This window comes from Homo sapiens, chromosome 6, assembly GCF_000001405.40.
Source record: "Homo sapiens chromosome 6, GRCh38.p14 Primary Assembly".
In the NCBI taxonomy this organism is placed as follows: domain Eukaryota; kingdom Metazoa; phylum Chordata; class Mammalia; order Primates; family Hominidae; genus Homo; species Homo sapiens.
The window spans coordinates 144,208,299-144,222,485 of record NC_000006.12 but is presented as its reverse complement, the minus strand read 5'-3'; the positions used below and the strand labels follow the sequence as shown (position 1 = coordinate 144,222,485).

Genomic DNA, 14,187 nt, shown 5'->3' with positions numbered 1-14,187 from the left:
AATCACTAAAGTATAACAATAGGTTCATCTATTGATCATTTTATATGCCAGGCACTTTCTAAGCATTTTTTCAACTTTACGTTTATCTCTTACAATGAATTGTTTGGTGGGTACTATTATTGTCAACTCCATCTCATAGGCGAGAAAACAGGGACTTGGAGAAACTGAATAGCCAGTCTAAAGTCACATAGCTACCAAGGGTTGCAGCTAGGATTAAAAATTGAACTGGCAGACTCCTAATCACAGTTCTTGTGTTGCCTCATAGGACCTATGCTGTGTATTTCACAAACACACACAATTCTGTGTTTATATATACATTAAATTGTGGAATTGAGGCAAATATTCAACACTCTTTTAAATAATCCATCTTATCCATGCAACTTAAAAAAGTTACCTTATTCAGTAACTGCCAACCTTACCATGCTATGGCAGTGAACAAAATGGCTGAAAATACAACCTAAACCCAAAGATAAACTTAGAACTTGAATTGCACAAGTGTATTGTCTAGCCTACCCAGATAGAAATGACTCAATGACTCAAAAACTACTTAAGTGTTGCCTCTTTGGGCTTCTGAATGCTTTTTTTTTTTTTTTTTTTTAAACAGAGCCTCACTCTTTCATCAGGCTGGAGTGCAGTGGCGCCATCTCGCCTCACTGCGAGCCTCGACCTCCTGGGCTCAGGCAATCCTCTCGCTGCAATCCTCTCACGCAGCCTCCTGAGTAGCTAGGACTACAGGCATGCGCCACCACACCCAGCTAATTTTTGTATTTTTCGTAGGGATGGGGTTTTGCCATATTGCCTAGGCTGGTCTCAACTCCTGGGTGCAAGCTATCCGCCTGCCTCGGCCTCCCAAAGTGCTAGTATGTCAGGTGTGAGCCACTGCTCCCGGCTGACTTCTGAATCTTGATTAGTAAGGTCCACCCTAGCTGAACAAAGAAGAAGAGAGGGAAAAGAAGTAAAAGAAGTATGAGAATGCCTGAACCCACAGTGTATTAACTACATTTTTAAATGTTCTGTATTTTTAATGCTCTGGCATCTGGGGTCTTACTGATTGGGCAGAGATTGTCCCTCCCAAGGTCAGCTAATTCCTAGAGACAGGAGACAACTCAGAATAGCCCTTACACCTCAGAGCCTGCTGAAATTACTCAAACCAGCCAATCTTAAGCATGCTTACCCTTTCTTGCCCCCTTTTTTCCTGCAAAAGCCACAATAAAGGCTGTTTGTAAAAATCTTACTGTTTTTTCATTCTTATTTTAAAAAAATTTTATGGGTGCATAGAAGCTGTATATGTCTGTGGGTACATGAGATGTTTCGATACAGGCATACAATGTGAAATAATCACATCATGGAGAAGAGGGTATCCATGCCCTCAAGCATTTGTCCTTTGTGTTACAAACAATCCAATTACACTCTTAGTTTTATTATATTTTATTTTTTATTTTACTTTATTTTTGAGAAAGGGTGTTGCTCTGTCACCCAGGCTGTAATGCAGTGGTGTGATCACGGCTTACTGCAGCCTTGGCCTCCTGGGCTCAAGTTATCCTCCCACCTCGGCCTCCCGAGTAGCTGGGACTACAGGCGCACACCACCATACCTGGCTAATTTTTGTATTTTTCATAGAGATAGGATTTTACCATGTTGCACAGGCTGGTCTCGAATCCCTGGCCTCAAGTGATCCAACTACTTCGGCCTCCCAAAGTGCTGGAATTACACGCATGACCAGCTGCGCCCAGCCACACTGTTTATTTTAAAATGTTTAATGAAGTTGTTATTGAAAATAGTCACTCTGTGGTGTGATCGAATAGTATGTCTTATTCATTCTATTTTTTTTTTTTGGTACCCACAATAAAGGTTGTCACTCATGCTTTCCCTTCAATCTTTCTGCCACTGACTGATCCCACTCCTTCCCCATTTGGCCCTGCATGGTGTGGTGTGACTCCTGTGTCTAGGAATCTGCAACATAAGAATTGCTTCCTTCATGACAGTCATTTTTGTGTCCTGTCCTACTGTTCCTGATTAAAATAAATCCACAGTACATTTTAAAACACATACCCTGAATAAGGATTAATATGTGTACAACACACAAAATGAATTATGAATACTCAATGGATTTCAGGGTAGTTCACTTATTCAGCAGGTATTTGTTGAGTGCATGTAATGTACTGGAGACACTCTGCTGGACGAAGTTTTCATTTCAGTTCTGTAAGGACCCACTGCCGACCCTTGACTGGTGTGGCTAATGAGACAGTTCTGGCCCTGGCTGGCTTACATTCCACAGTCAGAGGTTGTCACTGCCCAATGCAGCCTGTTCACACTGGGACATCCACTTTTTGCTTCAGAGCCCTTAATATTGAGTTTGGCCTTTGCCACATACTAATCTACAACCTGGGATTCTGCCTCAATGTTATTTTCTTCTCAAATGATATAATAAACAACAAAAGAATCATTCTTCTCTGCCAGGCAGTCTGATAAATGGTTCAGAGGCATCAAAATCTATTTTGATGAAAATGAAACATAGGCTGGGCTGGTTCGCAATCACCCTTTATCCAGTAGCAGAGTAATGAGGCGATGCAAGGCACCTGGGATTATGTTCTCTGCCTCTTACACAATATCTTTGAACTAAACAGACTTATTAAAACATGGAGCATTACCATTTATCCCACTTGAACAATTAACATATGGGTGAGATTCATAGCATATATTGAATTTGTTCTTTAGCTAGCTGCAATTGTATTTGAAAGTAAAATGAAAAACAAGCAAAATAATTAAGGCTTCCAAATTCCAACTTCCTACTGAGGACCAAGAACGCTACTTGTTCAGGATCTCTCAAATTGGACATGACTTCTGTGTTTTAAAGCTGATGGCTAATCCAGATATCTATTATCCTTCAACTTCATAGCCAGATTTGGAATTGGAAAATGAACTGAAACAAACAAAGAAGATGCAGTGCAATAAAGCTTCTATTGATACAATGAAAATAATGTCTCGTGCAAGTTGTATCAGTGATTCAGGATTATTTTCAATGGCAGGTTTATCATTAATGATTACAAGAGAAAAAAGAAAGTCAATTTACTGGCTGACATAGATATAGCCTGAATCTGCTTCCAAACACAGTAACTGTGGAGCAAATTATCAGAATTCTATAGTCAGAACAAGGCAGACAGAATTTAACAAAAAATTTGCCTCAACTTAACCAGTAGGTGTCACTGCGTAAATACATTGGTAGCAGCTTTTCCTACAGAGATCTATGTAAAAGCCCAATAGAAAATAAACAATTTTGAATAACTTACAACTAGTTCAAACCCACAGAGAATGTTTATAAAGCCACACTGTTAATTTTTAATTCAAAGGATTGACTTAAGTTCTTTTTGTTAAAATAATTATTAGAAAATCATTATAAGTTTAGTGGCAGTATACAAATTTAATGATTCAAATTTAATTTAAACTAATGTAAATTTAATTCAAACTAAGTTAACGATTCAAATTTAACTTCAATATATTCGCTATGTTTTAAGAACTTTTGAAAATATATAAAGAATCTAATATAACAAATCTGCTTTTCAAGGAAAAAATCCTGGGCTTTTAAGGAGGAAGAGAAAGACTGAGCTCAGTCTAACTGGCTATTAACAGAATTAAACAATTTTTCCCCCAAAATATTTTCTACCAATTCAACATGCCCCCCATCCCAAGCCTATAAAGACAGACCAAGATTCTCTACATCGGTAGACACAGATACTTCCAAATGTAACACTTGTCAGGTTCCTTCTGTTGCAAATCCTTCAGGGCATCCTGGGCATCATACTTCACAGGGCCCCCAGATGGCTCCCACGTGGCTTACCCCACCTGTATCTGTCTCCCTCTCCCTCTTGCCCCTCCCTCATCCCTGCTTCTCTTCTTTCACCTCTCAACTAAAGCTGGCTCTCTGAGGAAGAGTCAGGCCTTCCCAAACCACTCCTTTAGCACCTTGGGCATAATTCATATTTTTTCATTACAAATGTGGCTTATTAAAATCTCTGTCTCTTGCTATCTGAGCTCACTGAGACAGAGGCCGGGTTATTTATCTGCACATCCCAAGTATCTAATAGTGAGTGGCTCAGAGCCTGTTCTCAGTTGCTGGCAGGATGTTTATTTCCAAAATATGTAGACACTCTTTTTCTCTTTCCTTTTTGAACAATTCAATTCTAAAGCCATTACATGAGCTTAAGCAATGTATAGATCTGCACTGGGGAGGCAGGAATTCAGGGAGTTACAAACATGGACAGGGAGACAAAATAGAACAAAGTCTATAGTGTTGGATCAGAATTGGAGGTATATATAAACTCCTTGATATACATAAAGATATATGAATAAATATAGATATATATTTATATAGATATACAAATAGATAAATATGCACACACACACACTCCTTAATTCTGTCTACCCAGAGGGCCTGGAAGTAGCAACACCTCAAAAGCAATGAGCACACCTAGCACTGAGACCTTGGTTTCTAGATACCATTCTCCACTAAAAGGAACCAAGGATCTTTAGAAAATGGCTGATTCTAGTACTGGGTCAGGAAAGCACAAGGTAAATCTGGACCATCTTGGAGTAGGAAGTAAGGAAGTGCTAAAGAATAATGCAGACAGGTCAAAAGTCAGCTTGAATGGGCTGTCACTGGCCCAATCTGAGACACTCTGAGCATCAAAATGAATGAATGGATTGTAACCATTAATTAAAATAGGGCACCATGGATACATACGTACATAACTTATAATTCCATAAATAATTGAATAAAATGAAAATTTGATAAGGCACCGGATATTACACAGCTTCAAAGCACTTCCCTCTAAAACAGGTACTAATCACAAAGGGAAAACAGTAACTTTACAGAGGAGAAGCCTGGCAGAGAAGCAGGCCACACGGAAATCATGCGACCTGAGAGGCTGCCGTGAGAACACTGCATGGCTTCTGTGGAAGTCCTGCTAAATAAACAGAGCCTGGATCTCATCAGGAGGAAACACCAGAAAACCTAGACTGACAAAGGGACATTCTACAAACCGGCTGGCTTGTCAGCAGAAGTGTCAAGATCATGAAAGTCAGCAGAGGCTGAGGAGCTGATCCACACGGAAGAAGCCGAAGGAGACAGGACAAGTAAATGCAACGCATCATTCTGAAGAGGAGCCTTTTGCTATAAAGAACATTCTTGCGACAACTGGTGACCGATTGCGCACCGAGGATTAGATGGTATTAAATCATCAATGTTAATTTCCTGATTTTAATAGTAGTACTTGGGCATCCACTAGGTATTTTACTTTTAAATGATTCAAGAGAGGAAAAAAAGTTATTTGCAGTGTACTTGCAACTTTTAAAAATTCTTAGATGGCTCTCATTAAACAAACAATTTTAAAGGGAGAAGAAGAAAAAAAAAACTTGACCACGCTGTATTTAAAAATTCTAAGCCGAACCCAAGTTGGAGTGCATTTTACATCTAGGATGATACAGTCTCCGCCTTCTAGGAGTTAATAGAAGAGTTGTGTGCACAAAATTAACATTGGCGGGGGAAAAAAAAGGGAGAGAGAGAGAAAGGGAAAAAAAAGAGAGATGCATTTTTCACTTTTTTGCAGAGGCAGTTTTAAAAATACCCTCCAGGTCACAGCCCTCCCCCTCCCGGCCGCCTCCCGCCCCGCAGCTGGGGAAGTGAGCAGAGCTCTGAGGGCCGCCGCCTGCGCGGTCTCTTGGTGGGAAGCAGGACTTTGCGTGTGAGCGTTGCGCTTCTCCCAGCCAGAAGTCGGAATTCTAATGTCCAAGGCGTGGTGTGTTCAGTGAGATTCGTATTTTTAAAAAATAAAATGATTTAAGAGAAAAACCTAAAGCTACCAGGAGTGGGGTTCGAACCCACGCGGACATATGTCCATTGGATCTTAAGTCCAACGCCTTAACCACTCGGCCATCCTGGTGCAGACGTTGAACCTTGTTTTTGCTCCGCTTACAAGGCATCCTCTACCTCCTCCTGCCCGCACCCTCCCTCCAGAACGCAGAGAGTTTTCGCCGCCACTGTCTCGGCTCTCTCAGCCCGGGCTGGGGCGGCCGCCACGCCGGTACCTCGGTTTCTCGCCGCCGCGGCTCACTGTTGCCCCCGGCCCGCTGCGGCAGTGAAGACAACTGCAGCGGAGCGGCGCGCTCTCGGTTGGGGTGGAGGCCGCGGCAGCGGCGCTCGCGGGCCTTTGGCTGGGGCGAGACTCCAGGCCCTCCAGTTGCGCTTTCAGTTTCGAGGTGCGCGGGCGCCGCAAACACACACCAGCAAACTTCTGGGTTCCTGGGAGCGCGTTCTGGAGGCGCCTGGTTGGTGGTGCAGGGACGCGGCCCACAGGGCGGCGTTTAGTTTGTGTTGTTCTAAGCAGAGTAGGTTTCAAGGAATGAGGTGCACGGGCAGCAGCAGAGTTCCTGGACCCCTGCCCCTAGGGGCCGCTTTTCTTCTTCGCACGTGCCACAAGTCACACGGGAGGGAGGCTTTGTAGAAATGCGCGTGTCGGCTGTGCCACGCCACATGCAGGGGAGCGTGGCAAAGTCGCCCTTCCTGGTGGCTGAAGGCACCATCGCCACTGCACAGTCTTGGATGCAGCGCAGTGGCCTCCTCTTTGCCCCCGCTACCCTACGATGCAATGAGATATTTCTGTTCCCCTTCCTTGTTTTGCAATGCTGTCCTTCCTTTCTGTGCACATGAGATTCAGTTTGTCCTGTTATCCCTTTTCCCAGGACTTCCACTCCATTCCCCACTACCCAGGACCTCATATCTACCACAGAACCCAGAGCCCAGGCTCTGTGTTGTGGAGTGGTAGGGGCCTGTGGCTGAGCTGGGATCTGGCAGCCACACGACTGTCCGGCCACGCCCTTGTTCATATGGTGCAGGCAGAGACTTCTTCATCAAGAACTTCTATCAGCCTGGAGACTGCACACACTAACCTCACTGTGCAAGACCTCACCAATGGCTCTCCTACTGGGTCACATTGTAAGAACTGTCTTGCCTCTTCCTGGAACTCCTGTGATCCCTGGGAACACGGGCTGTCACGAGCCTGCTGCCCTGGTTCTTGGAGTTTCCGCCAACTCTTAGAGAACTGCCCCTGCGAGAGGGCCTCAGGATAGTAACCGGGAGAATCACCCCCTTTACACTTTGCCACACAGCATTGTAAGCTGTCAGAGGCCTGCTCCTGTGTCCTGACCTCAACAGCACCCCTCCTTCTAAGCGCCAGGCCCGGCCCTCCGAAGTACACGACAGGAGCTCAGGCAAGAGCAGTTCCTCGGGCCTTGCCCTGCGGTGCTGAGAGAAGAAAGGGAACTTAGACTCTGCCAGGGTCAAGAGGCAGCCACGTGGTGATGACATGGGGTCACCAGAGTGCCACCTGCCACCTGCCACCCGCCATCTCCATTGTATGGCGCCAAATTGTCAGAGGCCACAGTCTTGATAAAAATGGCTTTCAAGGCACTGAAATGATAATAATAACACGGATTGAGAACATGTCACTATGTGACAAGCATTGCTCTAAGCTCTTTACATATATCTTCTCATTTAATTTTCAGCTGAGCGTCGTGTTGCGTTCCTGTAGTCCCAGCTACTCGGGAGGCTGAGGCCAGGGGATTGCTTGAGCTTGGGAGTTCAAGGCTGTGTCTGTCATAATTGTGCCTGTAAATAGCCACCACTGCACTCCAGCCTGGGCAACATAGTGAGATTCCATTTCTAAAATAAATGAATAAAAATTTCTCAACAACCCTGTAAAGTAGGTGTGTGAGGGACACATTCACACCACAGTACTATTTGAATGATATTTTTGTTAACCCCAGACTCAGCTTCCAACAAGCCCCTAGTATAAGACAGTTTGGAGTAACACAGCTGCATCGTAGGGTATCCCTTAGAAATGCACCTTCTGAAGCCTCAAAATTGTATTAAAATTTTCTGGCTGCTGTTTAAGGATGGGCCTGGTACAAGTTAGTTTATCGTTGGTCATCTTTGGAAAAATACAACCTGCCACACAGCAAAACTATACCAGTATCTCCCATTACTAATGTTTTTCTTCCAATGTGATTTTGACACCCCTCCCATTAATAGATGGAATGTGGGGGGAGGGGGAGGTTTGTGTTCTCATTCATTGAATCTGGAAAGGGGCTTGTGTCTATGGAGGAGTGATACTATGTGACTTCTGAGGCTAGGTCATAAAAGTTGCTGTACCTGTACTTCACTTTGTTTTTTTGAGATACTTGATCTTGGAACTGAGCCACCATGCTGTGAGGAAGCCCAAGTAGCCACATGTAGTTGTTTCAGGTGACTGCCCTCAAACAACAGGCAGTATTAACTGCTATAAATATGACTGCGTGAGCCTTCAGATGATTCCAGCCCCTAGCCATCAAGTGACTCCTCCCCCACAGCCACTGATTCCTTCTAGTTAATTGCCCCATATTATTATGTATGCAGCGTAGACAGTTTGTCCCCATAGTATCCTTTTCCAATTCCTGATTCACAAAATCTGTGGAAATAATAAAATAGCTATTATTTGTTCCACTGTTTGTTTGTTCGTTTGTTTAAGTGAAGCAATTGATAATGAAAATTCTGAGAATGATAAACTGGGAGTGCGGTGATGAGGCACTAGGAGCACTGGAAGAGACAGGCAATCTGAGAATAAAGCCGGCACGGGGGGAAGCAGAACCCCAAGATGGAGAGAGTCCAAGGTCTGATTCCATCATTGGAGACATTTACTCCATCCTTCCTAGAAACTGGATTCAGGGCCATGCTGCCATCTTCCAAATCTACATCGTACATGGAAGTGTCTGTGTGGAAGAACAGAAGTTCCATCCCTGGATGCTTGCTGCAAGGGTGGATAGGAAAGAAAGTTCTGGCTTCTGCCTCAGGAAGCAGTCTTGAAAATGGAAGAAATTCCCCAAACATAGGAAAAGTTGCCAAACTTGCTGGCAACTACAAGGCATGACAAATACCCACTTGAGTGTTGGAACAAAATGTGAAAAGCACTGTGCCATGGCATTTGTTATAACTGACAATATTAGAGAGTAAATGTCAATATTAGGACAGATTTTGTAACGTTGAAATGGCTTCACGTTCAAGAAACTGCATTTAACGTACTTCTTACAGGGAAATGTTCCACGCTATTTAAACTAGTTTTCAGTGTGTATATGTGCTTAGTTAAGCCATGATATTCTTCATACATTCTGCGATAGTTTTAAAAATATGTCCATAAATGCTTTCATACTTCTGTCTTCAACAGGGGAAGACTACCTTTCCTCCCCTTGAGTGCGGGCTGAATCTAGTGACTCCTTTCTAATGGACAGAATAAAATGAAAGTGGTCTGCAAACTTGGAGATCAAATCATCAACAGGCACTGCTGCTACCACTGTGGTTGTCCTGTCTTGGATCATTCACTCTGGAGGATGCCAGCTGTGATGTCCCACATGGAGGCTCTGAACGGAAGCCTCTAGTAACCACCACAAGGACCTGAGGTCTCACATGAGTGAGCTTGGAAATGAATCTTCCACCTCAGTCAAGCCTTCTGATGACTGTAACAAGAGGCAGCAACTTGACTGCAACCTCAGGAGAGACCCTGAGCCAGAACTACCCAGCTAAGCCCTGATTTCATGACCCTCAGAAACCAAGTGAGATAATGAATATTTGTTGCTTTAGGCTGCTAAATGTTGTGCTATTTTTTACACAGCTATGAGCACTAATACGTTAATATTAATATTCTATTAATACTATAATACACTAATTCTAATACTAATACTATAGCACTAATACTAGGCAAAGTTAGTTTCTCTAGCACTGATGATGTGCTCACAGCATGTATTTTGTTTCTTTACATCTATTTTATTTTATTTTATTATTTTCAGAGTTGTTTATATATATTTTATTTATTTATTTAGAGACAGAGTCTTTCTGTGTGGCCCAGGCTGGACTGCAGTGGCATGATCTCAGCTCACTGCAACCTCTGCCTCTGAGGTTCAAGCGATTCTCCTGCCTCAACCTCCTGAATAGCTGAGACTACAGGTGTGCACCACCATGCCCAGCTAATTTTTGTATTTTTAGTGGAGACTGGGTTTCACCATGTTGGCCGGGCTGACCTCAAGTGATCCAACTGCCTCAGCCTCCCAAAGTGCTGGGATTACAGGCGTGAGCCACCATGCATGGCCTGTTCATATATATTTTAAATTTTTCTTTCTTTTTTTGAAAAATTTTAGATTCAGAGGGTACATGTGTAGGTTTGTTACATGGATATATTACATGATACTCTGGTTAGGGCCTCTAATAAACCTGTTGCTCAAGTAGGGAACTTCGTACCTAATAGTCTTGCAACCCTTTTCCCCACTCTCTCACACCCCATTGTAATACCCCAGTGTTTATTGTTCCCATCTTTGCATCCGTGGGTTTCTACACATCTATTTTAAAAGAAAGAGTAATCCTGCTAACCTCCTTGCTAACATCCAACTTTCCTTCTTGCATTTGTTTTCAAATTCTTAAATAGATTGCCCTTACTTTCCAAGCCTACTCATTTGCTTTCTGTTTTTTTCCAGAATCCTCTGAAATGTAGCTTCTACACTTATCTTTCTCTCTCTTAATCTTTTCAGAATGAAAACATCTTTACAGAAACAGATTCAAGTTGTAAACGTTGTATGACATCCAAACAATGTAGAAATAAAGTAGAATGTGAAACCTCTCATTCACAACCGGTATAATCAAAATCATACTAAATTGGGGTCCCTTGTCTTTTGAAGATGCTAAACCATTTTCTGTCTCCTGCTTTTTCCCATGCCTGCTCTTCCCCGCCTAATTCTCTTCCAAGCCCCCCATAAATCCTATCTTCCCACCACACACACAGTTGTAAAGTTAAAGGAGTAAGAATAAGCTGCACTTACAAGTGTGAGTTTACAAAACTCAGGAAGCTCCAAATTACACTCTAGAAATATCCTTCTTGCTCTGCCTGGCCTTACTCATTATATAGTAGCCCCCATTAGCTGCAGTTTTACTTTCCTCAGTTTCAGTTACCCACAGTCAACTGCGCTTTGAAAATATTAAGTGGAAAATTTCAAAAGCAAACAATTCGTAAGTTTCCCATTGAGTATCGTTCTGAGTAGCGTGATGAAATCTCACGCATGGAACGTGAATCATCTCTTTTCCAGTATGTCCACTCTGTCTATTCTTCTCGCCTCTCAGTCACTTAGTAACCCTCCTGGTGGTCAGATCAAAGTATCATAGTGTATATCAGATTCAGTACTATCTGCAGTTTTAGGCATTTGCTGGGGGTCTTGGAATGTATCCTCAAGAATAAGGGGGCCCTACTGTAATAGAAATTACAGTTTGTGTTATCATTAGAAATATATTCTTTTTGGTGGCAGAATTTTCTCTTTATTTACTTGTAGAATTTAAATTTTTGTCTCAAACTTTTATGAAATAGAGTATACACATATCCTACATGGTAAGCAGGATATAAATTTGCCTTTTCGTCCATAACAGAGGGTTTTCATTATGATAACAATAATTTTTCTGAACTATAGATAAAATAAAAGGCAGCAGTGCATAGTAATGTAAATGTATTGTTTAAACTGTCAAGTCAGTAGAGCTAGTTCAAATCATAATTCTTTAGTAGCTGTATAGACAACTTACCAATTTCCTCAAGTCTCATCTGTAAAGTGGGAATAATCATTCCTACCTGAGAGAAATGTTGTGAGAATTAAGTGAAATATGCATGTAAAATATCTCTGCTGGTTGTCTGGCATTGAAACAGAACCCAGGTTTGCCACTTAAGCCAGACACAAGAAATGAGGGTTGATGGGAAGAAAAGCAGGTTTATTCAGAAAGCCGGCAAAACCGAGAAGATGGTGAACTGGCGTTCCAAAATACCATCTTAAGTCATTATAAATTTCAGGCTCTTTTTATGTTAAGGGCAAAGGGAGGAGGAGAGAGTTGAGACTAAGGGTTAACCAATGACTGAAGACACCTAGGTGGCAGCGAGGGTCTGAGGAGGTTAGGAAATTATTTGTCCTTGGTCATAATGCTTCTACAAATCTTTAACAAGGACCAACTAGACACAACCAGGTGGAACAGCTGCCACAGAGGAATGGAGGAACCAGGATAACTGGCACGCTCCTAATAGACCTTCAGAGGGAAGGCACCAAGAATGGATGCAGGGAAGACACAGAAGCTGGGCTGAAGGGGGAGGAAGCTGGGAACCCTGCATGAGGCTACCAAGCATCAGGGCTCGTTTCTGGCCCCCAGCAACTCTGGGGTAATGGGTGAGCTGAACTGGTAAGGAGCAACCTGCTTTTGTCACAGCCTCTGGAATCCCAGCAGGTTAGAGACCCCTCAACCACCATGGACGCCTGAATTGGCAAGGAGAGCTGCTTAGAGAACTGGTAGGGGCAGCCAGCTGATGCGCAGCCCAGAGTGTTTGGTGAGGGAGCATCTGTGGTGGAGCACAGCCAGGGATAGCCATCTCTGTAGGCCCCACTAGCTCCCACAGGAGACTTTAGTCCTAGGGGAACTGTCAGACTTGAACTCTGCAGGGTGGTCTTGCCCATTAGACTGGACTGGTCTGACCTGAATAATCCTTGGTCTTCTGGTCCCTTCTGGAACCCCAACCTGGCAATGTCTGCTTGCAGGGCAGCCTCGGGTGCCCTGGGGGCCCACTCTATAGCTTTTGCACTGGTGGACCATGCCTGACTAGTGGAGAGCTGCAGTGGGGTGGTCTCCATGGCCACACATCAGTCTACCCACTCCTTCCCTGCACTGTAGCTTCCTCTGGGCCCATGGCCACCCCCCACATTGCTTTGTCAGCATCTATGTGCACGAGCAGATTTTGCTTTCCTTGCCCCACCACCTTGTGTGTACACATGCACCCTGCTTCACCACTGCTGCTGGCAGGAGTGCATTTGACTCTACCAGCCTCCCTCCCCCGCCATACTGCCATTGCAGTCAGAGCCTTGGTGGGCATAGAGCCCACTAGCCCTATCCCTGCCAATGCCCTGCCCCTGCATCAACACTGCCACTAGAGTGAAAGTAGGCACAGAGAACAGCAGACCCTCCCCAGCCATCCCCACTTGCATGAACGTACACAGATGGCACACTCAGACCTGTGCTAATCAGCACCCCAACCCCATGCTAATACCACCACCAGCACAACTGCATGTACAGTTGCCAGTGGGGCCCTCCTCCTCCTCAAGCCATGCTGCCTCCACTGCAGCTGTGAATGTGCACAGGGAGGCAGGCACCCTGGCATCCGCTAGCACCCTGCTGCAGCCAAGAAGCATGCACCTCACCATGCTGCCACTGCTGCTGGCATGTGAGAACGAGGACCATCCTGCTGTCACCACACTGAAAACATTTTGGGTGACACCACCAACTGGAGTGTAGTGACCAGCCACCTGGGAGCATATCAGCCCCCCAGCACAGTGGATTCCTAACCTCGAGGAGACAGAGAACAAAGTTGAGGCTGATACAAGTCCCCTAGAGTTAGAGCATACAGTCCAGGAGTTGGAAGCTGAGCTTTGGCCCCCTAAAATCTTCCAGAAATGAAGCCAGTTGGCTGAACCCACCTTCCTCCACAATAAAATCATTAAGAGCATCAACTAAGATAAAAGGAAAAAAGCCCATCCAAAGAACAGCAGCTTCAAAAATTGAAGGAACATTAGCCTAGCAAGATGAGAAAGAACCAGTGACAACTCAAAAAGCCAGACTGCTTTCATTCCTCTAAACAACGTCACTACATTGCCAGGAAGGGCTCTGAACCAGGCTGAGATGGCTGAAATGACAGAAATCAATTTCAGAATACAGATAGGAACGAAGATCATTGAGATGAAAGAGTACATTGGAAACCAATCCAAGTATACTAAGAATCATGATGAAACAATGCAGGAACTGACAGACAAAATAGCCAGTATAGAAAACAATGTAGCCAACCTGATAGAGCTAAAAAACACACTACAATAATTTCATAATGCAATCACAAGTATTCAAAGCAGAATAGACCAAGCTGTGGAAAGAATCTCAGAGCTCAATGAATAGCTTTCTGAAATAAGACAGTCAGACAAGAAAAGATAAAAAAGAAGGAAAAGGAATGAACAAAACCTCTGAGAAATATGGGATTATGTAAAGAGATCAAATCTATGACTTATTGGTGTCCCGGAAAGAGAGGAGGAGAATGGAAGCAA

At 43.8% G+C, this 14,187-nt stretch overlaps 1 non-coding gene across 1 annotated transcript, besides 5 other annotated features; it reads right to left on the bottom strand.

The window, feature by feature from the left end:
* Window positions 5,583-5,632: a silencer, noted in NCBI's record as "silent region_17639". NCBI's record gives its function as "represses an Ori minimal core promoter by ATAC-STARR-seq in GM12878 lymphoblastoid cells {active_cell/tissue: GM12878}" and the evidence as "EXISTENCE:reporter gene assay evidence [ECO:0000049][PMID:35858748]".
* Window positions 5,723-5,852: an enhancer, noted in NCBI's record as "active region_25213". NCBI's record gives its function as "activates an Ori minimal core promoter by ATAC-STARR-seq in GM12878 lymphoblastoid cells {active_cell/tissue: GM12878}" and the evidence as "EXISTENCE:reporter gene assay evidence [ECO:0000049][PMID:35858748]".
* Window positions 5,844-6,308: a silencer, noted in NCBI's record as "fragment chr6:144537315-144537779 (GRCh37/hg19 assembly coordinates)". NCBI's record gives its function as "represses an EF-1alpha promoter that drives an FKBP-Casp9 reporter gene in an ReSE screen in HepG2 liver carcinoma cells {active_cell/tissue: HepG2}" and the evidence as "EXISTENCE:reporter gene assay evidence [ECO:0000049][PMID:32094911]".
* Window positions 5,844-6,472: a biological region, named in NCBI's record as "ReSE screen-validated silencer GRCh37_chr6:144537315-144537779".
* TRL-TAA1-1 (tRNA-Leu (anticodon TAA) 1-1) lies at window positions 5,857-5,939 on the bottom strand. The gene has a single exon. It is a non-coding gene; the product is annotated as a tRNA-Leu (tRNA).
* Window positions 6,183-6,472: an enhancer, noted in NCBI's record as "active region_25212". NCBI's record gives its function as "activates an Ori minimal core promoter by ATAC-STARR-seq in GM12878 lymphoblastoid cells {active_cell/tissue: GM12878}" and the evidence as "EXISTENCE:reporter gene assay evidence [ECO:0000049][PMID:35858748]".